Source organism: Homo sapiens, chromosome 1 (assembly GCF_000001405.40).
Source record: "Homo sapiens chromosome 1, GRCh38.p14 Primary Assembly".
Classification (NCBI taxonomy): Eukaryota; Metazoa; Chordata; class Mammalia; order Primates; family Hominidae; genus Homo; species Homo sapiens.
The window spans coordinates 186,294,092-186,321,521 of record NC_000001.11 but is presented as its reverse complement, the minus strand read 5'-3'; the positions used below and the strand labels follow the sequence as shown (position 1 = coordinate 186,321,521).

The window sequence follows — 27,430 nt, the reverse complement described above, 5'->3', positions numbered from 1 at the left end:
TGTTAACAAATTTGCCAGAGGTCAGACAGCAAGGAAGTTGCAGTTTTTAGTTTCAAACCAGTTAGTCTGGCTGTAGAGGCTATGCTAAGTGTTGTGCTATACCACTCCTCTTAAACGGTTGAAAGGCTCTCCGTGTGAAAGTATACACATTTATTCGTGGCTAAGGTATTAGTTGCTTAACAGGATGTATTTGAAGATCAGAATTTAAAAATTTCTACAAACTTGGGGAAAGGTTGATTGTTCTGTAGATGTAACATGTGGCGGTTAGAACCAGTTTTAAACTTGCTCAGTTAGCCACAATTTACCTTGGCTAACACATTCTTACAAACCAGCCAATCAATTTCAGCTCCTTCCTTCTGAAAGTCAGCACTCAGGAAGAGACTCACTCCAATAAACATGCAGAATTCTGAGTACCAGCAATCAACAGCATTTTCACTCAAATAAATGTCACTACCCCTGTGCCTCTAGAAGTCACCACTTCCTGAACTCCATGTTTCCTAAAGACATTAATAGCTCACTAGCTAAGGAAAGATAGGCAGAGTTAAATAATGCTAAGTTTTATGTCCTGAATTATAGGCAGAAAGATAAATGATAGTGTTATTAGGATAACAAAGAAAGCAAGTTTTTAGCTATCTAATATTAGAATTTTCCTAAACCTTGGGAGCTAGCTAGTGAACTCTTAATAAGCTAGACAGGTGACTTGATTTTTCTATGACCAAATGAAAACTAAGATAAAACTTTGTCTCATGACTTCATTCTAACAACTCTTTTTGTTATGTTTTATGTTGAGTTTGTGTTGCTTTCAGTTTATCTATGTGAGGATATCTGAGACATTCAAGAAATGTGAGGCATAGTTCAGGAGAGCTGAAAATTAATTACATATAAATCACAGGTTATTCTTATTACTAAATTCATTGACAGCTGATAGTATAAAAGGATTTTTATAAGTAAGAAACCCTTTAAAATAAATAGACTTTATTTTCAATCTGTTTCCTTCCCAGTTTGTTGATGTTCATTCTTCCTTCTTCCTATATTTTTTTCACCATTGTGGTTTAAATAGGTTAACTTTAAATTTCATCTTAAATTAGTTTTTGTCCATTTAGTTCGCCGCAGGTTGCTGGTGTCCCTAGATTCCGGTTTGGGCCACCTGAAGATATGCCACAAACAAGTTCTAGTCACTCTGATCTTGGCCAGCTTGCTTCTCAAGGAGGTAAATAGTTAAACCTTTAGATCCCCTGAATTTGTATGTATTTGGTAATAAACTATTAAGATGTGATTTAAGGGGGGAAAAAGAGCAAATATGAATATTTTTAAAATTGATATTGTTTGCTAATTTATTTTTTTAAATGCTGTAGTATACTTATTAAGCACTGCCTTACATCTTATCTTTCCAACAAAGTTCTAATTTCTTTGAGCATAAGGATTAGCTTTTACATTAGTATCTCTTCTGGCTCCTGGTGTAATGTCATACACGTAGTTTAAGTATTCAGGAATATGTGTTGAACCAATAAATATAGGTACTACTAGCCATTTTAAAGTTGTTGGAAGGAATGCAGCATGTTTTCTGTTTACAGCTTGACACTTGTAACATTTCTAATTAAATGTATAAGGCTAGTTATATTTTTTGTATTAACATTACTTAAAAAAACAAAAAATAAAAGATCAAAATATGTGGAATAAAATGGCCACTACATTAAGTAGTAGAATTAGCTAGTTTTCCACATGTGAATTATGCTGTTTGTGGAATTGATTACCTTTTAATCCTCAGTTGGAATTCATATTACCCTCTTTATTTCTGGGAAGCTGTCTGGCACTTGGTAAATGAATAGAGAATGCATACTACTATTACAATAAGCTCAATCTTTAGCCATCATAAAAGTCATGTAATGTAACATCTGCTTGTTTAGGATATTAGTTCTAACACTGAAGGCCTCTTCTTATATGAAATTGTAAGTTGACTTTGTAAATTTAAAATGTTATGTGATTTTGTGACTTTGTATGTTAATACAGTTTCCTAGACTTGGGCATCTAGGCTTAAATTGGAATGCCAACATTTTAAGCTTAGTAACCTTGGTAATTACTTTGTTAATTACTTTGTAATTAACATCCATAGTTGGATACTCAATAAAATTAGCTTGTATGAAACTCTTAAGAGCATTTTAGCGAATGTTTTAAGGGTACTGTAGCATTAGAAAGTTTAAAGGATGTCTTTAAGTTGTATTTAAAATTTTGAGGCCAGGTGCAGTGGCTCACACTTGTAATCCCAGAACTTTGGGAGGCCAAGGCAGGAGGATCACTTGAGGCCAGGAGTTCAGGTGCAGCCTTGACAACATAACAAGACTGACCCCTGTCTCTACAAAAATGAAAAATAATTAGCTGGGTCTGTGTTGGTAGCCCTAGCTCCTTGGGAAGCTGAGGTGGGAGGATCACTTGAGCCCAGGAGTTTGAGGCTACAGTGAGCTATGGTGGTGTCACTGCACTCTTAACTTGGGTGACAGAACGAGACCCTGTCTCTAAAATAAAATAAAAAATAAAAGTTTGAGAGATGGATTTTTGCTTGATGGAATAATTAAATCGTGGACTTTAGTAAAGTTGTATATCTCCAATAATTAATATTTTTCTTTCACATCCCTGACTTGTTGATAATTTTATGTTTTTTTCAGTCATTCATTAATATTCAGAATTGTCTTTAGGTTTAGGAATGTATGAAACACCCCTGTTCCTAGCTCATGAAGAAGAGTCAGGTGGCCGAAGTGTTCCCACTACTCCACTACAAGTAGCAGCCCCAGGTAGGGATCAAAGGCAGATAGTAGGTTCTGTTTTATTGGTAAAATGAAAACCTATGAAGTATCTTCTGGCTAAAAATGTGATAAACCACAAAGTTTTAAAGTTCTTTTTCTTGTGTTGTCTTTTTAAAGTGACTGTATTTACTGAGAGCACCACCTCTGATGCTTCGGAACATGCCTCTCAATCTGTTCCAATGGTGACTACATCCACTGGCACTTTATCTACAACAAATGAAACAGCAACAGGTGATGATGGAGATGAAGTATTTGTGGAGGCAGAATCTGAAGGGTAAAAGTTTATTTTGTTGTTTTTGCTTGCTTTAGTCTCAACAGACTTGTACATTTGTTTTCCTTTAGCCAAGAAACAATCTGCAAAGTTGTGTTTTGTTTTTTTTTGTTTTTTTTTTTGAGACAGAGTCTCGCTCTGTCGCCCATGCTGGAGTGCAGTGGCGTGATCTCGGCTCAGTGCAGCCTCCGCCTCCTGGGTTCAAGCAATTTTCTGCCTCAGCCTCCCAAGTAGCTGGGATTACAGGCACCCGCCACCATGCCTGGCTAATTTTTGTAGTCATTTTGTACTGAAATTTTCACATGACTTAAACTGGAGCAGATTCATGTTATTCTTGTACTGTCTCCCTCATTTGTGTCTTGAATGGAAGAGAGAAAGATGGATGTAGCCACTGAGCCAGGAATTTTACATACCCATAGCCTATCTCATCTGGGCTAGAGCCCGTGGTTTGGTTACTGGTATACTATTTAGTAGTGTGACTGTTGTGAACTTTTTATAGTACTGTGCTTTCCTAAAATGTTGTTTTGAGATTTATCAAAATCTGGACCATATATTTCTTATGAGTGTCAAGAATGTGAACATCCTTGTCAAAAGGAAACATAAGAAGAGGAAAATCATAAACTAAAATTGGAACATGTCATAGTGAGAAAAGGAATGAGGAAAAAACAATTTGAGCTCTTTTCCCCCCTGCTCCTTTGAAAAATATATATGGTAACCAAATCAGTCTATAATTTTTTGTTTAAGGGAGCTCTGGATTACTTAAGTGATAAAATAGATTTAAAAGAGTGGATATAATTTATGATTGACTGTAGGATCAGTTTTGTATTTTCTCATTTTTCTTTTCCTTAGTATTAGTTCAGAAGCAGGCCTAGAAATTGATAGCCAGCAGGAAGAAGAGCCGGTTCAAGCATCTGATGAGTCAGATCTCCCCTCCACCAGCCAGGATCCTCCTTCTAGCTCATCTGTAGGTGAGTCCCTGCCCTTGACTGCAATACAGTTTTTATACATCAAACTTGTTTGTGAAAACACTGCTTTATTAGTAACAAATTAATAATCCTTTTTTCCTGTATTTTAAAATGCTTTATTTAAAAGAGAAATTTTATTATTAAAAGGAACTTGGTTTATATTGAAATAATTATTCTAAGAATATTCTGGCATCAATAATAAGAAATATGGACATGGTGGATCCATCCCAAAAGAATAGCTCACTCATGTTTCATCTAGACTATTGGTTGTCAACATATGTTTTGTAGAGCTCTTGGGTCTTTTAGAGGTGCTACAGGGGTTGTAGTGGGTGGGTATACTGGGAGGGAGGCTAAGGAGTGCTAGGGCACTCCAGGCCTCTTGCCTCTGTTTGAACCACAGCAGCTCCATTTTTATGTGTTCTACATATTGGGGTTCTACATGAGATTTGATGTGGAGAGTTAAGGGGTAAGAGCTCAGTTGCTTAAAAAAATTGTTTGAAATTTACTGATGTAAACAGTTTCAGAGTTTGGCTTTTCAAATTTTTGAAGTTATTTTGAAAAAAAGATATGTATTATTCCTGTAATAGAAGTTATTTTTTAGAATAACAGTTAGCATTTACTGAACACTTAACTGTGTATCATGTAGTATTCTGAGCCCTTTACTTATATTTCCTTATTTGATTCTCGCAACTCAGTGCGGTAGATATTCATCCACATTTTATAGATATGGAAGCTGAGGCACAGAAAGGGTGAATAACCTCTTCAAAGTCAAATAGCTAATAAGTAACGGACAAGCAACGATTACACTGAAGAAGTCTGGCTCCAGAGACCCCACTCTTGAACAATACACTATACTAGCTCATCTATCTCAAATTTTTAGACAGAGAATTACCTTTACTATTAAGGATATACAGTACTTGGTCATTCAGTCTGATTATTTTAATTTTTAATTGTTTACAGTGGTAATTCTCAAACTCTGCCATGGAACCTTCAGATTTTATGGCAGACCTGCTCAGTTATTTATTACTTTTTTAAATCACAGAACTTTGCTATCCCAAAATCTCTTCCCCTGATTCTCAGCTGCTTTGATGTGACACATCAGCCTATTGGTTAATATCCCTAATATCTACCGTTTCATATCTGGTAACTTTAAATTTCTATACATTATGTAATATGGATACTCATAACTAATCTTGCAATCAGGATTTAAAATAATGTATGTAAATTACAGAACCATTTCATACGCAGTAAGGCTTAAAAAATGTATAACAATCATATTAATGATTACTGAAGTTTTGTGCCCCCAGTTATATTTTGACGTCCCATAAAAATTGGCTTTCCTCAATAGAATTAGCACTTGTTATATCTTATCAGAGCTTGTATGAGAAAATATGGTTGTTTCCTTTAAAGTATAATATGAAATTACGATGTCTTTAAATTTATTTGATAATGTAAAACTGTACTTCCCCCATCTGAGTATTCATTTGGTCAACAAATATTTGACAGTGTAGCAGGCAGTTTCATAGGAAGCATCACTAAGAGAAGGTGACATTTAAGAGCTGAAAGAAGAAAGGGATCAAAGCTGTGCAGTTACTTAATGAAGAGCATACTAGATCAAAGAGAATATTAATAGATGCCAAGTCCATAAGGCAGCAGTGTGTCTGCTTGTGTTCAGGGTCAACAAGGAGGCCACTGTGGCTGGAGCACAGTGAGTGAGAACAGAGAGTAGCAGGAGATATGTTAAGAGGCGGGAGAGGATAGATCGAGTAGATCATTGTAATTGCCTTGGCTGTCATGGATACCAGAAGCTATTGGAGGGCTTCACACAGAATAATGACATGACATGATCTGATCAGTTTGGCTGCTGCATACAGAAGAGATTAAAAATGAATAATGGACAGAAACGAGAAACTTTGGAGGCTACTGCAGTAAGTCAGGAAAAGATAGTAATGGCTTAGGTGAGATGGTAGAGTTAGGATTGTGAGAAGTTGTCAGATTTGGGATATATATTTAAATTTGAGCATTCATGATTTGCTAATGATTGCATTTGGGGTGTCTGAAAAAGAATCAGATATAATTTGTGTTCTGTTGTAGGCTGTTTGCTGAGGGACTTGATATTTTGTTTTCTGTTGTATTTCTCAGCACCTGGCAGTATGTTTGATACATGGGTAGTCAACAAGTAAATATTTATTAATATAAGTGAATGAATGAAAAAAAGTCAAGCACTTCTGGTTTTTTTTTGGTGTTTTTTTTTTGTTTGTTTGTTTGTTTTTTTTTTGAGACAGGGCCTTGGTCTGCCTGGTTTTTTGGGTGTTTTTTAAGGCAGGATCTCACCGGTCTCCCTGGAGTACTGTTAGCTTGATCATGGCTCACTGCAGCCTCAACCTCACCCGGGCTCAAGTGATCCTCTAGCCTCAGCCTCCTGAGTAACTGGGACTGTAGGCATGTTCCACCATGCCCAGCTAATTGTTTTATAATTTTGTAGAAACAGGGTCTCGCTGTGTTGCCCAGGCTGGTCTCGAACTCCTGAGCTCAAGTGATCCTCCCACCTTAGCCTCCCAAAGTGCTGCTTTTTTTGTTGTTTAACCATTTACCCTTTTTCGGTTTGTTAAATGTTCCTCATTGTTTGAAAAAAAGAATTGAAATCAAATGAACAAGTCTACATCTTATTCATTCATTCATTTAGTAATTAGTTTGTATCATTATAAATGCTTTCTCATTTTTTCACTTGCTTTTCTTTTATCTTAATGTTTTTCTTAGATACTAGTAGTAGTCAACCAAAGCCTTTCAGACGAGTAAGACTTCAGACAACATTGAGACAAGGTGTCCGTGGTCGTCAGTTTAACAGACAGAGAGGTGAATTTCTGACATAACTGGATTACATGATAGAATGTGGAATAGTAATAAATGGAACAAGTTTTCTAATCCTTAAGCCTCCAATTTATTTTTTTAATGTTCCAAAGTTTTATTAAATAATTACATGTTGAGCAGGTGATATTTACCAATCTGTAAACTTCATGTAGACAGATTTGTATACCTTAGATATATAATAAATATGTGCTTATATTTTATATTTATTGATTTCTTCCTTAAATCCAAATTAAGATTTGGAAAATATGAAGTGTTATAGTGTTATATTCATTTGTTGTATCTCTACCTATTGCCATTATATTGTTAATTTTTTTATACAACACGATAAAGCTTTGTGATTATGTTTTAGCTAGTAAAAGTGTAAAATTTTAATATTTCCATGTTTTCCAATATAACTTTTAGATTGTACTTGTGTCACAAAAAGAGGGATTAATCTGCTTGTAATAATTTCCATTGAAGTTGTAGAATACCCAACAGTTTTATATCCACAATGCCTAGATATTTTTTATAATGAACTAGGGTAAGTGAATACACTAGTTTTGAATTCTTAAAAGATATATTCAATTTGATTCTTTTTTCTTTTACAGGTGTGAGCCATGCAATGGGAGGGAGAGGAGGAATAAACAGAGGAAATATTAATTAAATGGTCTGTAAACAATAACAACTGTGAATAAGATTATCAAATCTGTTTTAGTGTAATGATTGTCAAGTTTAAAAACATTTTTATATATAAACTGGTATACTCATGTCAATATTCTTTATTAATAAAATGTTTTTCAGTGTCAAAATTTATTATTCATTTCTTCATTAGTTGACTCCTCCTTTGCTCATCAGTCTAAGGACAGTTGTACCAGACTTTGGATAAGGTCTGCCCAGAACGAGTAGTAATTGCTCTTGCTGTTCTACTAGGCACATCAATGTTATAGTATTGATCTAAATGGAAGAGAAAACATTTTTTTAGTTAAAAAGAAAACAATGCCCAAACTAAAAAATAACTTATGTTGACTATTATGCTCAAAGACAATGTTTATCATTTTAATAGAGATGTTTTTACTAATTAATTTGAACTTTATAACAAAAAGAAAAACAATTGCCTAGACTTTTCAGCTTTTTTGATGTTTCAAAAGATTGACATTTCACCATCTTTTTGTAAAATCAGGTTCAGCTCTCCTTTATGAAGTAAACATTAAAGAGTAACCAAGTTTGAAAAATAATTTACTTGGGGTTATTCCTTTTAAAAAATACATGCCAATGTCATTCATATTATGAAATTACAGGCAGAATAACTTAGATTTCTGGGCATTTCAAAGAAAAGCATCCTGAGTAATATAATTTAATTAATAAAATTAGTTTCTCAGGAACTTCTTTCTGATCTTACAGACTCTGCAGTGATGCAAATCATTATAACCTTGTGCCAAACAAGGTATCTGTTAAATGCCACAAATGATAGAAGTAAAATACTATTGTCAGTAGCAAGTTTACTCTAGTAACTGGATGTTTTATCGTAATCTCATGAAGGTTAGAGCAGAATTGAATTGCAGTGCCATCATTTTAATTGAAATTAAAGCAAAAGTCTTAACTCTTTTCCACAGCAATTAGAATAAGTACCGTAGTGTAACTTCTCACATTCAGTCATCATTGCAGCCAGCATTTTTACTTTATCTTCATGTTTTCACAAATGATATCACCTCCTTGGGAAACTGTTAGTTAATACCTTACCTTTAGAAAAGGCATAGTAATCATAGCCGTCAGGTTTTCTGATGTTGGGCAGTGATATAGCTGAGGTAACCACATTTGGAAGTCCTCTCCACAGTATACTCACTTTAACTTCATTATGAAGGACACCTGTAAGTGGCATGTTTAATAAAAGATACCAGATTAAAAGGCAATGTACTATCTTGGAAAGAGCCAGACATCTGAGTTTTAATCTCAGTTTTAGCCCTCTGATGTAGAACTATTGAGGGTTATAGACTGGTATATAATGTTCTTGGTAAGAAGTACTTGATAAATAGTATTGGTTATAACTAACAAACCTGAACAAACTGCTTTACTTACCCACAAGGAAAAAGAAAGTATTGGTCTTTGGTTATTCACTAAGGCAAGTGGATGAGTTTTTCATCAGTAAGCTTAAATTATTAGGGCTGTTTGATCAGTATCCATATTTCATAAGCCTTACTGTATAAGAAACTGTATTACATCTACTTATGTTTAAGGATTTTTTTAACACAATAAAAATGTTACCTTTGTCTTGATAAGCCAGTCTGGCAGGTGAATATTGAATTCTGATGGTGTGTGTTTGAGAAGGTCCTATAGCACGTTCAAAGCGACGTCTCCTAACCTGTGTCGTTTCTCCATACACTGGATAATTTAGAGCAGGCCTTCTTCCAGGGCACTTCTGTACAGGTTCCTGTTTATAAATATACTGCTGAATGCTGCCACCTGTTATGTATTAGAATATCACATGGAAAATGAAAATTAATTTTAATACCCTCAGAAAAGGTGGAAAACAACTTTTACAATGTATAGGAAACAGTTTTGTTCTCATTTTTCATATAATATATTGATATTAATAATGGCTATTAGTCAAGGGTATTATAAAAATAATTATTAAACTGAAATACTTGTTGAATGAATAGATGCAGCAAATTACATAGTTATATATTTAATTTCAATTGAAAGTGACAAGTGCTCAGTTTGGCAGCACATATACTAAAACTGGAATGATACAGAGATTAGCATGGCCCTTGTGCAAGGATGACATGCACATTTGTGAAGCGAAAGTAAATGACATTCTATCAGTGACCTGAAAACTCAAATGAATTGTGACTTGCCTGTGAAGAAATGAAAATAAAAATTGAGGGCAATAAGAATACTACCCTCAATATTGATTTTTTTCACTGAAAATATTTGATTTCAGCCATTAAAGATATCTTTTGACAGTAAAGTCAATAATAAATGAAAATGCTGAGTGTAATTCTTTAAAAGTTTTGTAATCTTGTCAATTATGTAACACATACCTCTCTTGAAAAAATACACAGATTCAGGCCAGTTCTTATATTTAGCTGTTGAAAGCGCTGCCACTATTTGTCCAGTTAGTCCTCCAAATCCTTTGAAAATTGGTTTGGGGTACCCTGCATCTTTTATATCATTGGTAAAACGCCAGTACTGAGAATCCTGATAATTTAAAAGAGAAAATTATGTTATCAGCTTTGGGAAAAAAGATTTGGAACTCCTTTCTAGATTTAAGTATAGAGAGAACGTGTTAACTTGGTTAAACGGTTGAATTTTGACCATTACTGTTATCAAACTGTTGAATTATGATTAAATTTTGATGACAGAGTATTTAAAAGGACACATATTGGAGGTTAAGGCAATATATGTTGTAATAAATAATGCAGTTACAAATTATTATTAAATTTCTCTCACAAAGATATTTGTGTTACCTTAAAGAAGAAAGTTTTTCCTTCACAGTTGCACCTAGTAAAAACAGTATCAATGGGGGAAGGAATACCCCAAACTTCAGTAATTCTGCGAGCTGGAGATGGTGGACTGAATGGACTTAGCATCCAGAAATAATGACCTAAAATTTAAGGAAAGACATCAGCCTACAAGCTGAATGCTAAACCTATCACAAAAGAAACCAAAATGAAAAAAAATGTAGTTTTCTTATGCATTGTATGACTGGAAGTTTAGTCAGATACAAAAGGTAGTATTTGAACATTTCTGAGAGCAGGTATTTCCCAAGTCCGAAATTTAGCATAACCTTTGAGATACTTTAGTTTTCTAGTTTCTTTAGAAAGAGCCTATTGGTTGGGCCAGGTGCAGTGGCTCACACCTGTAATCCAGCACTTTGGGAGGTTAAGGCGGGTAGATGGCTTGGGCCCAGGAGTTTGAGACCAGCGTGGACACCATGACAAAACCCTGTCTCTACAAAAAAAAAAAAATACAAAAAAAAATACAAAAATTAGCCAGGCATGGTGGTGCACACCTGTAGTCCCAGCTACTCAGGTGGCTGAGATGGGAGGATCACTTGGGCCCAGGAGATCGAGCCTGCATTGAGCCGTAATTGCACCACTCTACTCCAGCCTGGGTGACAGAGGGAGATCCGGTCTCAAAAAAGCCTTTTGGCTTTGTGACTTACAGTCACTATCTCTTTAGATCTCAATTTCTTTATCTCTTAGAACTAAGGAATTATAATTTAATGACTAACATCTCTTTAGCCTCTACTGTACGAAAAGGAATTGCTTTCAGATTTAATCTAAATATGTTTCAAGACTGGACTAGCAGAGTACAGCAGAGAATTAACATGAAATAACTTTTCTTCTGTTACTCTCCGACAGAGAGTGTAACACTTGAACACATCACAATTGAGATGTTATTTTCAAATAAAGCAGTGAATATGCATGCTGGTGTCATTTCATTTGGTATGAAATTAAAATTTTATTTTATTTTTTAAATTTTAACTACCCCCCCCCCCCAAAAAAAATGAACTACTTTTTAAATCTTAACAGTAGGAAAAAACCTCAGTAGTATCAGTTCAGGGTCTTGGTTTTGTTTTGTTACTTTGTCTAATTTTCTTAATCCAATATTTCTGTTATTACTCTCGGATTCTCCTGTGAGGTGTGCTTATCAATCAGATTCCCCTCCAGAAAACAACCCAAACTAGCACTCTTCCACGGCTTTGGTTCTCATAAATGCCAAAACAGAATGATGAGAAGAAAAATAAATGTGTACATAGCTCACCTCGGAATGCAACTAATGTCCCATTGCGCAAAGTAGTCAGTCCATCTACTGGCTTACCATTGCATATATTGGTCTCATCTAAACAAATTAACAAAAACAAAACAAATATAGAACAGAATGAGAAAAGTCTGTATGTTCTTTTCAAGTCTTTCCACATGGTTCTATTTCCTGTTTACCTTTTCTAAGATCTTGAAGGACACAGTTTGACCTGTTTGCATAGTTATATACTTGATAATTCCATTTTACTTAAAGATGATACTCTTCAAAAGTATTATATGAAATAAATTATTATGAATTGGAATGGACCAGGTTACCTTGATTTTCATGTAAACTAGACATTTTTTGGATGTATGAACTCAATGTGAAATTGCATCTTTCAGTTCTGATTGCCCTCCCTTTGGGTTAGTTTGGAAAATGATACTACAGATTTTTGCTTTGCATTGTACTTTTAAGAATAGACTCCGAACTAAATTTTTTTGACTTTCTATATACCATCTCTGCTGCTCACAGACACACATATGCTAAATTCCCAGGCTTAATTTTCTAGAGAATGAAAAAGCTTACTGTAATTACACCTCTGCTTACCTACAGGGAAGCTGTAAAACTTCACAAGCTAACAAGGTCAGGTAATATATCTCAGTTGAGTGATACTAAACTAAGGCATTCTGGTTCAGATAGATGTAAACTAACATTACCAGCTTTAAAAATGAAAATAACTGATTCTTAATACCGGAAAGCATGGGATTGATGATAATGCCTTGATTGGGTACTCTCGGTAAGTAATCCATGTCGGGAGTAACTTCAGGCATGAACACATGGGGCCTGAGAAGCATATGAGGTGTTTCTCCTTCAGCACCACCTGCATCTTCACTCTTTGGATTTACTTCAACTAGTTTGGAGTTTGGAGTTTGGTTAGGTCTGGTGGTGGTTTGGAGCATGGCTTCTGCTATTCTTGAGGTAGGGTTCAATTCTGGCATTGTTGATGTCATCTTGCGGGGAGTTGGTGTCGTCTTTGGTTTTCTCACTCTAGGCATTGTTTTTGGCTTTTTGGTAGAAGTGGGTTTTTTGGGTGCTTTGGTTGGCTTTTGAGGTTTAGGAGTTGTCGCTTTAGAATTAGTAGCTCTGTCTTTTGGTTTAGCTGTTTCTTCAGGTTTGTTCATAATCTCAGTGGTAGTAATTGTCTTTTTTGTTGTAGTTACTTTGGGTGCAAGAGTAGTTGTTTTAAGAGTAGTAATTTTGAATGGTGTGGTATCTTGAGTTGTGGTAGATGTTACTTGTGTGGTTGTAGCTGTTATTTTGGATTCGGTAGTTTTTTCTGTTGTAGTTGCTGTCTCTTTTGTCATCTTAGGTGCAGCAGTTGTAGTTTCAGGTGTAGTACGTAAGTCTCTTTCTGTTGTCTTGTCTTTAGCTGTTGTAGTCATTTCAGGTTTAGTCGCTGCAGGAGTCTTAGTTGTAGGTACACCAGGTTCCTTGGGACTGTTTTCAAGAGCTTTTGGTGTGGGTTCTGCAGAAAGCTCAGGAGTTGATTCATCAGGGCTTTTGTGGATAGTGGTAGGCTCCTTGGTGGTAGTTGGAGTAGAGACCTCTGAAGTGGTTGGAGGAGGTGTCTCAGGAGTAGTTGGAGCAGGCTTCTTGGGGGTAGTGGGTGCAGGCTCCTTGGGGGTAGTTGGAGCAGTCTCCTTAGGTGTAGTTGGAGCAGGCTTGTCAGAGGTGGTGGATGTGGGCCCCTTGGTGGTGGTGGGTGCAAGCTCCTTGGGGGCAGGCTTCTTGGGAGTAGTGGGTGCAGGTTCCTTGAGGGTAGTTGGAGCAGTCCCCTTAGGGGTAGTTGGAGCAGGCTCCTTAGGGGTAGTTGGAGCAGGCTCCTTAGGGGTAGTTGGAGCAGTCCCCTTAGGGGTAGTTGGAGCGGGCTTGTCAGAGGTGGTGGATGTGGGCTCCTTGGTGGTGGTGGGTGCAAGCTCCTTGGGGGCAGGCTTCTTGGGAGTAGTGGGTGCAGGTTCCTTGAGGGTAGTTGGAGCAGTCCCTTTAGGGGTAGTTGGAGCAGTCTCCTTAGGGGTAGTTGGAGCAGGCTCCTTAGGGGTAGTTGGAGCAGGCTCCTTAGGGGTAGTTGGAGCAGGCTCCTTAGGGGTGTTGGGAGCCGCTGCCTTGGGAGTGGTGGGAGCAGGCTCCTCAGGGGTGGTGGGTGTGGGCTCCTCAGGGGTGGTGGGTGCGAGCTCCTCAGGGGTGGTGGGTGCGGGCTTCTCAGGGGTGGTGGGTGCGAGCTTCTCGGGGGTGGTGGGCGTGAGCTTCTTGGGGGTGGTGGGTGCAGTCTCCTTGGGGGTAGTTGGGGCAGGCTCTTTGGGAGTGGTGGGTGCAGGCTTCTTGGTGGTGGTGGGTGCAGGTTCCTTGGGAGTGGTGGGTGCAGGCTCCTTGGGGGTAGTTGGGGCAGGCTTCTTGGGGGTGGTGGGTGCAGGCTCCTTGGGAGTGGTGGGTGCAGGCTCCTTGGTGGTGGTGGGTGAAGGCTCCTTGGGAGTGGTGGGTGCAGACTTGGTAGTGGTGGGTGCAGGCTCCTTGGTAGTGGTGGGTGCAGACTTGGTGGTGGTGGGTGCAGGCTCCTTGGGAGTGGTGGGTGAAGGCTCCTTGGTGGTGGTGGGTGCAGGCTCCTTGGGAGTGGTGGGTGCAGGCTCCTTGGGGGTAGTTGGGGCAGGCTTCTTGGGGGCAGTGGGTGCAGGCTCTTTGGGAGTGGTGGGTGCAGGCTCCTTGGTGGTGGGTGCAGGCTCCTTGGGAGTGGTGGGTGTAGGCTCCTTGGGAGTGGTGGGTGCAGGCTCCTTGGGGGTAGTTGGGGCAGGCTTCTTGGGGGTGGTGGGTGCAGGCTCCTTGGGAGTGGTGGGTGCAGACTTGGTGGTGGTGGGTGCAGGCTCCTTGGTGGTGGTGGGTGCAGGCTCCTTGGGAGTGGTGGGTGCAGGCTCCTTGGTGGTGGTGGGTGCAGGCTCCTTGGGAGTGGTGGGTGCAGACTTGGTGGTGGTGGGTGCAGGCTCCTTGGGGGTGGTGGGTGCAGACTTGATGGTGGTAGGTGTGGGCTCTTTGGGTGTGGTAGATGCAGGCTCCTTGGGAGTGGTGGGCGTGGGCTCCTTGGGAGTGGTGAGAGCAGGGCCTTTGGTTGTAGTTTCAGCTTTGGGTGTAGGTTTAGCCAGCACTTTAGATGTGGGTGCTAAATCTTTAGCAGATGTTTTCTCTATACTTTGTGTCTCTTTAGCGGAAGTAGTCTTCTCTTTTCCATCAGTTGAAGTCTGTTTATTTGTTGTAGTAGTTTCTTTAGTTTCAACTGTTGTCTCTTTATTCACTGTCAAAGACGTCTCTTTAGATGTATCAGAATTAGGTGGAAGACTGGGTCTGGGATTTATTGGTTTTGCTGTTGTGATCTTGGGAGATGTGCTGACTTTATTGTGTTGGGTGGTAGACGTGTCAGGAGTTGTGACCTTGAAGTCACCATTGTCCAATCCACTTCCAGCTTCATCTACAACTGGTGGTTTGGGGGTAGGTTTCTTTTTAGTTCTGTTCTTCTTGTTATCTTTTACTGGAGAAAAAATATACATCTTGTTATTTTAGAATATTTTTTTTTCTTTAATAGTGACATAAAGATCCCATCTTTATCATTGACTAGTTGTGTGTTTCTAAGCAAATTGCTAATCTCTACTATGTCCTTTAATTTGTTGTAAAATGGCAAATACTCAACCTATCTTATTGGGCTGTTTTAGGGAATAAATGAGATGAGGGATGAAAAAGCACAAATAAAACTCTATACAATTAATACATGGAAGTCAGTGGCAAGTTCAAAATTACCAACACGATAAATAACACTAATTCATCTGTTTATATTAATGTTCTTTACCCCCTACTTTTTGTACTCTTATTCTTCAGTGCCCAGTGTCCCTTCCTTCCTCCTGGAAACCTAGTACTACCATCTTGCTGCACCAATTATCTCAGAGGCCTCTACAGCTACCTCTGAGCAATCTGCCCCAGTCACCCCCACAGTCCCTGCTGAGCCTTGTTCCCATACATAGGGCTATTAGCCACTCCTTTTCTTCTGCGCAGCTAACCTTGCAGGTCCCAGGGGACATAAGGAGGAGCTTAGGGTGTGATGGGCAGCAAAAAGACAGTATTTATCAAGGCTTTCCCATAGCAGCTGCCCCACATGTGGACTACAAAGCCCAAGGGTGGCTTCCTGCACGATTTTCTGGGTGACTAAAAGATTAAATGCCTGGCTATTTATTTAGAGCGAATGCTTCGGAGGAAATCACAACCTCTTAGAGTTCTTTAAAACTCCCTTATCCAAAAATCCAGTATTTCCTGGAGAAAGAGAATATATATTTAGAACCAGAACTTCAGGAAATAATAAACAGCAAAGGAAATCTCTTTTCAGGCAATAATAGCCTATTCTGTAGCACAGTCTCTACTAGAGGAAAAGTCAGCCAGATATAATATATAAGTTACTAGGAAAATAAAGAGGATTTGTAAAATATGGATAATATTTTTTCCATAGAGGTTTGTAAGAATTTAATGAGTTAATACTTGTAAAACACTTAGAACAATAGTATATAAATGTTTGTTAAAATAAAGCTGGGGAAGGGAAAATGAAAATGCAAGGAAGATGAAGGAGAAGAAGCAAAATGATGTCAAGTAAACAAGAATGACAGTAGAAAGCCATCAATAATCATCTCTGGTGCCATCTTGTGGTTCCACAGTCCTGCTACAGCATCTTCTTATCCTTTGCTTTTAGAGTGGCTTCTTAGCCGCTTGGCACTAATTTCCTGTAGGAAGTATTCATTTGGTACTTTCTAAGATAATATTCATAAAGTTATATTCCCCCCCATATTAAGATGTCCTCATTCTGCCAACACGCATTACTTTTAAATATAATCATTGTTAATATGGCATTGATACAGTCTTTGATCTTTATCAATGCTCAAACCTTTGAGTTTCTTCTGTAATTCTCTATTAGCAGCTGAATTTTTGGAAGACTTGATTTTCCGAATTGTTGAAGAAGAAGAGGAAGAGGAGGAGGAGGAGGAGGACTCTTGATTTTCAGAAACAGAATGTTCTATAAATCAAATAGAAAGTTTGATCACACCAACTGTGATTTAAAACAAAAAAGAACCACCAGTCTAAACACAGCAAGAAGTGCTATTTACTAGTCTACAAGTATCTGGATTTTGCTTTTATTAGTAATATGACCAACTGCCTTTTAATCTGTCAGTTAAAAGCAAGGCACCTGGGCTTATCACAGATACTAGCAGTATTACTAGTATCTCTCAACTTTCCCATATCCTCCAAAACACAGAATCAAATTATTCTACAAAGAAAATCATGGGGTGGTTTTTGTTTTTTATAGTAAGATTTGTCCCTTCTGATTTGTTTTAACCCAGACTCATGCTGGGTTTGGTAAATACAGAAAGAGCTGAGAGTTTATACTTTGTCTTAAACTTTACTTAAAAGCAAAGTCTAAAACCTTCGAGTGTAATGAGGCTCATGATTCCTAAGATTACCCTGTTCTCTGAGAATGGGCTTAGATAAGCAGTCACCTACAAGTTACTTCATCTAAGAAAGCTCCTTTGATTATATCTGTCATCTTCCTACCTTCTGTTATTTCCTCTGATTCTATAACTTTCTTAGTCTTCTTCTTGTTTGGTGGTTTGGGTGAACGTTTGGTTGTTGATTTGATGGTTTGAGATGCTCCTGAAGGTGGAGGTGCTTTCTTTGAAGATGGTGGTGATGTGGGATTATGCACTGAGGCCAAGTAAGACAAGTCAGTTAACATCTTGTTTATGTTCATCAGCAGCTCTAACTGTGAAAAGCACAGATGCATCTAGCTTCAAGAGTAGATGCTGGTGACAGCCAGTGCAGGCAGGCTCCAGCTCAACACGAATGACTCCATTTAAGTCTAAGGATGCATTGCTATAAAATACTGGTTCTCAAATTGTTGTAAGTTATGACAGGGAGCAAAGTCTCAGGAATCAGAAGACCTAAATTCCAGTCCTAGGCCTGCGAGCCTCTACCATTGTGACCTTAGGCAAATAATTATCTTGAACTTCATCTTCTTGTCTACAAACTAAGATGTTTATTCAAGATGATTTCTGAAGGTCTTTGCCTTCAGAATTTTTTTCTGTTTTAGTATTCATTTTTTTCTGTTTTAATATTCATTTAAATTAAATGATGCCAATTTGCCTTTTGTTCTTTTTTTAATTACAAAAGTTCTACATGAATATTCTTGTGAAAAGTTCACACCTTCACATTGTGCTTTTCCTCAAAATGCCCTGCCCTTCCCAAAGATACAACTTAATGGTTTGGTGTGTATCTTTTTAACCTTTTAGTCCCCTTCCCTTTTCCGCTTCTCAGTCTAGAAGAGAAAACATGGAACTTCTTTTTTTTTTTTTTTTTTAGGAACAAGAAGAGGGACTAATGAAGGATAAGAAAACAGCACTGGGGACTCTCTGGGTACAGAAGGGTTGTGATAAATCATGCTGCTCCCCGCAACATCGCCCCAGAACCCTACTGCTATAGTCTCCGTGAACTGGCCACTGTCCCTCTTGTTTCTCCTCCTACCCAGCAAAAACATCAAGTATCTCAATTTGAGAAACAGATCTGCCATGTACTAGCTAATGTTCTTGGCCAAAATGGTTAACCTCTTGGACTCTGTTTTCTCTTTCACATTCAGAGGCACTTGGATGGCTGGGATTCCTTCAATTCTTGAAATGTTATGATTTTTAGATATATAGACACCTGTAAGTAGTATCTATACTGAAACAACTAAGTAGTGAATCTCAAGATAGTTTGGTTATTACACTTAAAAAATGAAGTATTGAGGTTCTGAGTGGTTTTATTATTTTAAGTTGGGACGCTGACTGTCTTATGAATTCTGTAAAGAAAGTTGGCCAGCATCGCCTTCATCATTTTTTTTTCAGAGTTCTACCTAAACTTTAGGTAATCTGACCAAATATTTCATAACATAAAGTATTATCTTTATCAAAATGTTCTCTCAATGTCTCATCACTTTCTAACCATCTTCACTCCCTAGACATCCTCTGCCCAAAACAAATTCTTAGCTTTCTTGTCTCACAGCCAAAACAATTAGGGTAATGAGTAAATATGTGTCACTCATCATGGGGCCTGCTAAAATCTGCAGGAAGGGTGAGCTCTAAGGTTTTTATTACAAGGGTGTTGTCTTCATCATTTTTGGAATGTTTTCCCATGAAAACATTGAACGGTTAAGAAACATCTCTCAATTCTGCTGATTAGCAGTTTTCCGATCTTTCTTCACTGTTCTAAAGAAGCAGGAAGCGCAGGCTTGTTTAAATAAAATGATAAGATTGATTATGCAAGCAAAGCTTATTTTCACTTTTACCTCCACAAATATTCTTGTTTTAACAAAGTAGAATTTAAGAACAACCATTTGGTAAAGGAAAGTAATCCAGTATTCAAGTATATTTTTAAAATCTTTTTCTGTAAAATCTGGAGCCTTTTGTTATACTCTAGAGGAGTCCTTCAAGACCTATAAATAGAGAATTTGATTTTAAGATGGGAATATCCCTTGTTATTGACTTTACCATGCACATGTATTGGAATAGAGACTGCTGAGGAGACTGCAGAAATGGGAAGGAACATGACAGTTAACAACGTGTTAGGTAGATTTGCCTATAAATTTAATGGCTTAAACTAATTCATAAATTTACTGGTTTAGGGAAGCTGAAAGTGTTGCTTATGTCCTTAAATATATACTCAAACACTGAGGCCAAAAGCACAGATAGCTCAAAGGATAGTTGACTTCGTGAAGTCAGCAAGGGTGAGACAAGAAATCATCAAGTGATTTGATTACTGTTGATTTAACCTGAAATTGAACCATATCTGAAGAAAAAAAAGACATATACATTCAGCCTCATCCTCTATGTTCCCCCTCTGGCAACATCTTGTACTCTTGGAGCCTGGCTGAGCCTGGGGGTTCTGCTGTTGGAAGGCGCTTTTCTTCTTTAATTCATCTCCACAAAACAAAATTATTATGAAATAGCTTATATGTTAGTAAAATCAAGGCCTAAGATGGACTGCGTGTTAGACATTATCAGTGATGCTAAGGTAGGTGCACAGATCTGGCTGTACTGAGAAGCATTGGTTGGTACTGTGATGCTTACCTTCTGCACAGAAACTCTCATAATCGGGACAGCACTTGTCATACTTCTTACATTGGGCGTCGCAGTCACACTCCCTCCCTCTCTCGAAGGACTCAAAGCAGCGGCCTTTACAGGAAAGCTCTACCCAGAGCAAAACAAGAAGTTACAGATTATTCATTGTGAAGCCAGGCCCACGTATTTGACAGCCATTTCCCACCTTAGACTTGACTAGGTTTCCAAAAGTTCATTTCTAAGTCTTTTATTTGAAATTTGGAGTACATCATCCAGGAAAAATTAGATGGTATCCCAGATGGAGACAGCCCAAGTCAAAAAAGAAATATGGTGACTGAGGGCAACTCCTCTTGCCCTTCCAGACTCCAAGAGACATCCTGATGCTGCCCGAGTTATTTACATGTATGGACAAAGAAAAATCGGGAAATGTCTAGATAGTGAGATAGCCTTCATATGAAATCTCTTCATCCTTCTCCTCTTCACACACTGCTTTGTAATAGATTCACAGTAATTGAATGTACAGATCTCAGCAATATATTCCATATAAATATATATGTATATATATTCCACGTAAATGGGTCATTTTTGAGGCTTAAAAATCATTTGTAATGCAGAGGCCCTTATTATGACAAACTGGGGAAGGTGTATAGTTGAAAGCTTTCAGCCTAATCTTACAGTGTGGACTATGTTAGGGAGGACTACTCATTTAAAAAATGAAAATTTAAAAAGCCTTTGTTAGAGTTAACAGGGACTTACCAAGGCTTATTTGAAATAATTACCTATCCAATACATAAATTGCACAATATATTCCTCAACTTCACATTCAAATTCTAAAGCAAATACACCTTTCAAATAACTTTAATTACAATTTTCTTAAATTGAATAGGAAATGTTTCTGTGTTAATAATAAAATGGCCCAAAATATATTCAAGTGAAACACCACTCATAATTTAAAATTCAGACCTTCAGATTTTAACTGAAATTCATCATTAAACACTAGCACTTTATCTTTAAAGTGTCTTTTCCAGGTAATTTACAAACGTGTTAACATCAGAAAGTCCAATGGTAGACAAGATTATTCCATGCTCATGTATTCTTTTGATGAAACTATTGAAAGTCCTCATTACTAGTCGAGGACATCTCTGATTGTAAATAATTACTCCTTACTATTTACTTAATGACTCCTGACTCACAGTATCTTCTCTATTTAAAATAAGACATTTACTTGGAACTAGACAATAACCTTGTGCAAGTGACAGACTTCCAGGCTCCCCTTACCCTCCCCAATAATCACAAGCTTTGACACCATCCTTAGGTACAATGCGCTGCAACATTTATGCAAGTGAAGGAAAGTCACTTAAGCAAAGGAAGTGATACAGTGGGAAAACAGCACTGCAAGTGGGTGCAAGGGGAGGCTCAGTCTCACAGCACTGCACGAGGGTGCAAGGGGGGACTCACAGACTCGCAGTGTTGCTTGACAGAGGAGACACCCGCTCTCAGGACTTACCCGCAGTGCAGACTCTCTTGAAATCAGGGCAGCACTCCATGTAGTGTTGACAGTTATAATCACAGTTGCAGGTGGCATCTCTAGAATACCCTTCCCCACATCTCCCTGCACAGCTTGATAAATCTAAAATTATACAATACTGGCGTAAATATGGCCAAACCACTTTATAGAAAGGGAGCAATCTAACGAGGGGGACAAAGCCACTTGGTGAGAGAGAATTTTATTGATCGAGAAGGTGTTGGAATGATGTCAGCAATAGGCCCAGCTGATATTTGGCTGATGTCTTAGGTGATCTCAATTATGTCACTTTATTCTTCACTAGACTGAGATGATAAACACATTTTTGAAAACCAGGCAAAGTAATGGCTTTGCCTAAAGAGGGTGATACTCCTAAGGAAGAGGTGGCAGCTACAGCTACTACCGATCTGTGGTTTTGATGATTAGCAGTTGCCATTTATTGAGCTTCTCTATGCCAGGTGCTGAGTCATACATTATCACTAATGCTTATGAAAATGTTTCCAGGATTTAGTAGCCCTTTTTTAGAGCTAAGAAAGCTGAAACACAGAAATTTTGACAACTTGCTCATTATCACACGACTAGTTAATAGTTCCAGTATATTGGCATCATAGGTTAATTAATACCTCCCAATTATTTGTAGTGAACTCTTTTACCCTTATAATTGTCCTAATTTAGATAATACATTTTATGGTCACCTTAAGTAAACAATCCATCCAGAATTTGAACTCTGATATATCTTATTTTAAGCCTGAGATGTTTCCACCTGTCGCTTTGCCTCCCATTCCTGAGGATAAGTTTAAAGCACGCTGGTTGCACCAGCATAAACTTTACTGAGCTTTTTCTTCCTTAATTGGTGGGGATAACTGGATTTTTAAAATGTCAGGGGAGGCAGATGCTTACAACCACTGCTGAAGTGAGAACCCTTAAAATAACTGGGCATAACTATAAAGGTCATGAACAGAGGTTTTCCAGGCAACAAATAAGCAAACAATAACAAAAGCATACTCATTCTCAAATATTTTTTAAAAGTCATTTGGAAAACACCACCTTAAAACCCTCCCTGAGAAATGACTGCAGAAATGTGACAATGGAATCCATCCCTGGAATAGAAATTGGCAGGTGTACTGTCCTAAATCCACAAAGGAATGTTGAAACACACTGAAAACAAATCTTAAAAGAATAGAGTCCAGGAATGCCAAAGTCTGAATATGCAAATAAAACAGTAAATTGTAGGACAACTTTCAGAACTTTTTGCGTACATGAGTGCATAATGCATACAAAAATGTATATATAGTGTATGTATATAAATACATATATTATATATAAAGAAAAAAGAGAATGAGAAGAGGTTGAGAAAGCAAGAGAAGCAGACAAGACAGTATCAAGAGATTGCTCTTTTATAGTTGGCAGATTTCTGAAATAAGAAATCATCTGTAATTCCAGCACTTTGGGAGGCTGAGGCGGGCGGATCACCTGAGGTCAGGTGAGACCAGCCTGGCCAACATGGTGAAAACCTGTCTTTACTAAAAATACAAAAATTAACCGGGCATGGTGGCAGGGGCCTGTAATCCCAGCTACTCGGGAGGCTGAGACAGGAGAATCGCTTGAACCCCGTAGGTGGAGGTTGCAGTGAGCCAAGATTGTGCCACTGCACTCCAGACTGGGAGACAAAGCAAGACCCTGTCTCAAAAGAAAAAAAAAAAAGAGGAAATCATCCTTACAGGAAAAGCTTACTTTCATAGATTAGGTGTCTGTCCTACTTTTATTGCTATTAATTGTAACCATTAATTTTATTTATTTATTTATTTATTTTTGAGACAGAGTCTCACTCTGTTGCCCAGGCTGGAGTGCCATGATGCAAGCTCAGCTTAATGCAACCTCCACCTCCTGGATTCAAGATATCCTCTTGCCTCAGCCTCCGAATAGCTGGGATTACAGGCACACACTACCACACCTGGCTAATTTTTTTGTATTTTGTATAGAGACAAGATTTTGCCATGTTGCCCAGGCTGCTCTTGAACTCCAGACCTCAGGTGATCTGTCTCCCTAGGCCTCCCAGAATGCTGGGATTACAGGTGTGAGCCACCACACCCAGCCCCATTAATTTTAATTTGATTTATTTAATCACAATTAAAATGAAAGTAACACTGTTTTAGTGAACAACCAATTGTATCACAGAGGAAAAGGCAGTTTAGAAAGTGCCCCCAGTGTTGTGAACCTTGTCATAGTGTTACGAGAAAGCCGAAGGGTCTGGAGATACTGGAGTAGTCATCATTCTTATTGAATATTCACATTTGCTTTCATGTGTTTTCCTGTCTTTTCTTATCTAAACAATTCTGCAACTTATGCCTATGCAGACAGTTACCACTCATGTTCAGGTTTCATAAGAATCTCGTATTTTACTGGAAATGTTTACTTTAGAAACATAATTTCATCATAACTGTCATGAATCTTGATTTTTATTCTCTCAGATTTTGCTTATCAAAGGGGAACAAAAGGAAAAGAAAAGAAAAGAAAAATCCAAAGCTTGGCATTGTTACTATTAATCCCCCTAGATGGCATGCTAGCATCTTTTACTAATGTGATTTCACTGAATGTACTTTAACAGTCTCTAAAAATGAGTAACAAGAACTATTCATCCAGGACCTGTTTTGGGAGAACTGTGAAAAGTTTAATGTTATAACACAAAATGACAGTCACATCTGTATATGTCCATACCTGGATAAATAGTTCTTGTAAGAAAAAGAGAACATTTTCAAGACTAATAAAATGCCATTTGAAACACTATAGTTTATTATAATATGGTATCTATGTCTAAATGATGCCAAAATAAGTTATTTATCAATAATTTATTTGATTTTAAAAAACAAATTGTTCAACATATAGGCAAAAATTACATGTTATCTAAATATTGTTCTTTTTTAGTTATTTTTATGATACTATATAGCTCCAGCATAATTTTATGATGAACTGTCTGCACTTTTTAAACTTTCGAGAGAACCATAGAAATAACAAGTACCAAAATTATTCTTTATACAAGCTCAAAACTCTCAAAAGGAGAAAAAGATGAGAATTCCAAAGCACTTACAAACAGGCTACATGTTATATATTATTTTAAGGTTGTACAGTATATTAAACTCAAGCAAATATAAATTTTTAGAAATATATTTCCGTTGTTATAAAAATCAAGACTGAATGATTAGCAATAGTTGTTAAATAAAAGTATGTTCGATGGTTAAGCTACCTTGAGATGAAACTTGCTGAATCACGAAAACAGACAGCAGCAACAACAGGTAAATGGGAAGTGTTTTCCATGCCATCGTTGTTTTCAGGTACCGTAGGTACCCTTGCTGAAAATAAAATAAAAGTATCAGAAAACAGCTCTTTCATCTCACCACTAACTTAGGCTTGCATTATACACATTTCAGTAACTTTAAAAATGTAACAATAATAAAACCATCCCATTCTTGAAACAAGACTTTAAATCAGCTTTAATTTTATAGAAAATATTTGGCCATTAGACTTAATCTTATGCAGAACAAATCAAGTCACCCTCAGCCACGTTATTGACAGTTTTAATTCTTAAGAAATCTCCAATATAGAATAGACTTATCTTAAAACTCTAGCCAAAGTATGGCATGTACTTAACAGTGCAAGGTTAAAATTTTATCTTAAGGAAAATAATAACCTGTGTCACAGAAATGTAATTTAATAAGCATCATGGAGTTACTGTTCCAACTTTTTCTTAATTCTCAATATAAATTCAAAGGCTTCCAACAGGTGTATTGCATAAACATAATCCTTTTCAAAAATTTCCAACTACTATCTTTACACATTTTTTTTCAAACACCTCTAATGAAAACACATTTAATTCTATGAAGCAAGTTAACTTTGACACTTACCCGTAAAGGATAGATGAGTTTATCCCACGTCCTGGGAGTCTTATATATCAGTGCAAATACAGTGGGATGAACCAATTAGTCCAAAGGTTAGACAAAATCAACAGTGACAACCTATGAAATCAAACTTTCCTCATTTATTGGAAAAGGGCCCAGACGACTAGACTTAGGCAACATCTGGAAAACACTTCCATTAAGCAAAATGACTACCACAAAATAAATTTAGATGTATTGGCCAGAGCACATTTCTAATTTCTAAGTGAAGTGAACAAATTGTCCTGAGATGGTAAATAGCTCTGGCAGACTTTGACTAGTATATTGAAGCAGCAACTTTAAAATATTCACATACTGGTATCATTTATTTCTTCTGCTTTCCAGTTAAATCTAGCAAAGGTAGCTTTGAAATTTACCTAGTGTTAGCTTGTGGCATACATTTTATATACTTATACCATTATATCAAATATACATTTCTTGAGTAGTTTCATTTTCTCTGAGCACAGAAAACATGCTCTCAGTTACCTACAGGTAGATTATTGACACTGGATTTTCTAGCTTCCTTTATTATTTTAAAAATCTGCTTAAAAAATGTATTGATATTTTCCTTAGATCCTTCCTTTAAGATAAGCATGTTTGGAAAAGGTCTTTTAAATTACTAATTTTGTTTCCTTCCCACAATGAAAATGTGAACCATCACCATTGCAGAGCTAAGTCAGCTCAGCCCAAGGCTTTACCCCACTTTCATACGGAATGTATCGGTGTAAAATCTTACCCACCAACATAAGGCTTCGCTCATGTCCTAGCACCTCCCTGAAACCTTTCCAGATCAAATTCCAATCACATCTAGAATTATAGTAAACAATTGTACTACGTTTTACTAAAATATCTCTTCATCTGTCTCACACCCCCAACAGACTATGATTTCCCTAAGGACAACCAACACCTATATGTTAGTCTATTGCCAACATACAGCCCAGTTGTTTCACCAATGTTATATGTTTAAAACATGCTCACGCCGGGTGCAGTGGCTCACCCCTGCAATCCCAGCACTTTGGGAGGCTGAGGTGGGCAGATCACCTGAGGTCAGGAGTTTGAGACCAGCCTGACCAACATGGTGAAACTCCCTCTCTACTAAAAATACAAAAAATTAGCCGGGTGTGGTGGCAGGCGCCTGTAATTCCAGTTACTCGGGAGGCTAAGGCAGGAGAATCACTTGAACCTGAGAGGCAGAGGTTGCAGTGAGCTGAGATCACGCCACCGCACACCAGCTTGGGCAACAAGAGCAAAACTCAGTCTCAAAAAAAAAAAAAGAAAAGAAAAAAAAGAAAACATGTTCAGTGAACCACATGGTTGTAGGCTGGATTCTGCTGTCTACTACTCATTTGGTAGGTACTGCATTTAATTCTCACAAAATGTCTTAAAGTTAAATATAATCATCCACATTTACAAATAAGAAGATGAAGACCCACAAATGAAGAATGTGTGACCCATCCAAGGATCTATAAAGACTAGAGGCCAGAACCAAGATTTGAACCCATGTCTTTGCATTTTAAGTTCCGTCATGTTTCCACTACATCCAGCTCCCTTTTGATCAAAACCATCACTTAATTTGTAATCATTATACTAAATTTTACTCCTTTACTCTACATGTATACATAGGTTTGTGAGATTGTGACTTTTTTAAGACTAGAATTATAAGCATCTATTTTCTTTCTACAGTGCTTATTTCACAGGACTAAATATGTAAAGACAATTTCGAGGCTATCTGCTCATCTCTAAATAATCCCCCTTTTCTGGGAACTACTTCTCTTTCTATCGGGCTATTTTCCTTTTAGCTCTGGTTATATATGTTATCTTCCCACATCAGCCACAGCTGATAGGATTAGGAATTGGAACTTGAACAACCCGAGCCAATATGTTTTCTTCTCCTGGAAATTTGAAATTATAGTTCAGAGATTACAAATTTGTCTGTCTACGTAGACCAATAATGTGTACATTTCTGCCCATGGTCTAAAGGAGTAGAGAAAGTCCTTCAGAGTAAAAAGATCCATAAATATGAAGCAACCACGCAGAGAGAGAAATTTCTGATAACTTTCTAAGTCTTGGTTACTCTGTTTTTTAGACCCAACTTCTTGCTCTGTATCTTTATGGCAAGTTCCCCTTTTGGAGCTGAAGCTGGCTAAAGATGCATTTTGCTACTTGAAATCA

At 37.5% G+C, this 27,430-nt stretch overlaps 2 protein-coding genes and 1 pseudogene across 6 annotated transcripts in view; 2 read left to right on the top strand and 1 right to left on the bottom strand.

Moving 5' to 3' along the window:
- The window catches only part of TPR (translocated promoter region, nuclear basket protein), a 63,602-nt gene extending 53,732 nt beyond the window's left edge, over positions 1-9,870 (top strand). Inside the window, exons 46-51 of the mRNA NM_003292.3 lie at positions 1,104-1,210; positions 2,694-2,789; positions 2,919-3,075; positions 3,922-4,040; positions 6,798-6,893; positions 7,496-9,870. Coding sequence (NP_003283.2) covers positions 1,104-1,210; positions 2,694-2,789; positions 2,919-3,075; positions 3,922-4,040; positions 6,798-6,893; positions 7,496-7,551 — 631 coding nt within the window. The 3' untranslated portion in view covers positions 7,552-9,870. The remainder of the gene's footprint in view (positions 1-1,103; positions 1,211-2,693; positions 2,790-2,918; positions 3,076-3,921; positions 4,041-6,797; positions 6,894-7,495) is intronic.
- PRG4 (proteoglycan 4) lies at positions 6,955-25,249 on the bottom strand. Of its 5 annotated transcripts, NM_005807.6 has the most exons (13): positions 25,229-25,243; positions 24,571-24,676; positions 21,309-21,431; positions 19,811-19,930; positions 17,265-17,414; positions 16,600-16,728; positions 12,382-15,204; positions 11,652-11,729; positions 10,352-10,488; positions 9,926-10,082; positions 9,150-9,347; positions 8,628-8,753; positions 6,955-7,841 (listed from the first exon to the last, which is right to left on the bottom strand). In NM_005807.6, the coding sequence occupies exons 2-13, from the start codon at positions 24,644-24,646 to the stop codon at positions 7,744-7,746; spliced, it is 4,215 nt and encodes a 1,404-aa protein (NP_005798.3). In that variant the 5' UTR covers positions 24,647-24,676; positions 25,229-25,243; the 3' UTR covers positions 6,955-7,743. The 5 variants fall into 5 exon arrangements, with proteins under 5 accessions (NP_005798.3, NP_001290161.1, NP_001121180.2 ...); NM_001303232.2 differs by lacking the exon at positions 16,600-16,728 and having other exon boundaries at positions 25,229-25,249; NM_001127708.3 differs by lacking the exon at positions 21,309-21,431 and having other exon boundaries at positions 25,229-25,249.
- Positions 9,594-9,685, top strand: RNU6-1240P (RNA, U6 small nuclear 1240, pseudogene; annotated as a pseudogene).

Excerpts from the sequence above, each read along its gene's own strand:
- PRG4 (NM_005807.6), bottom strand. The coding sequence starts at position 24,646 with ATGGCATGGAAAACACTTCCCATTTACCTGTTGTTGCTGCTGTCTGTT. Across the intron at positions 15,205-16,599 it reads ATTACAGAAGAAACTCAAAG|TAAAAGATAACAAGAAGAAC; the intron begins GTTTGAGCATTG and ends TTTTTTCTCCAG. Across the intron at positions 10,489-11,651 it reads GACATTAGTTGCATTCCGAG|GTCATTATTTCTGGATGCTA; the intron begins GTGAGCTATGTA and ends CTTAAATTTTAG.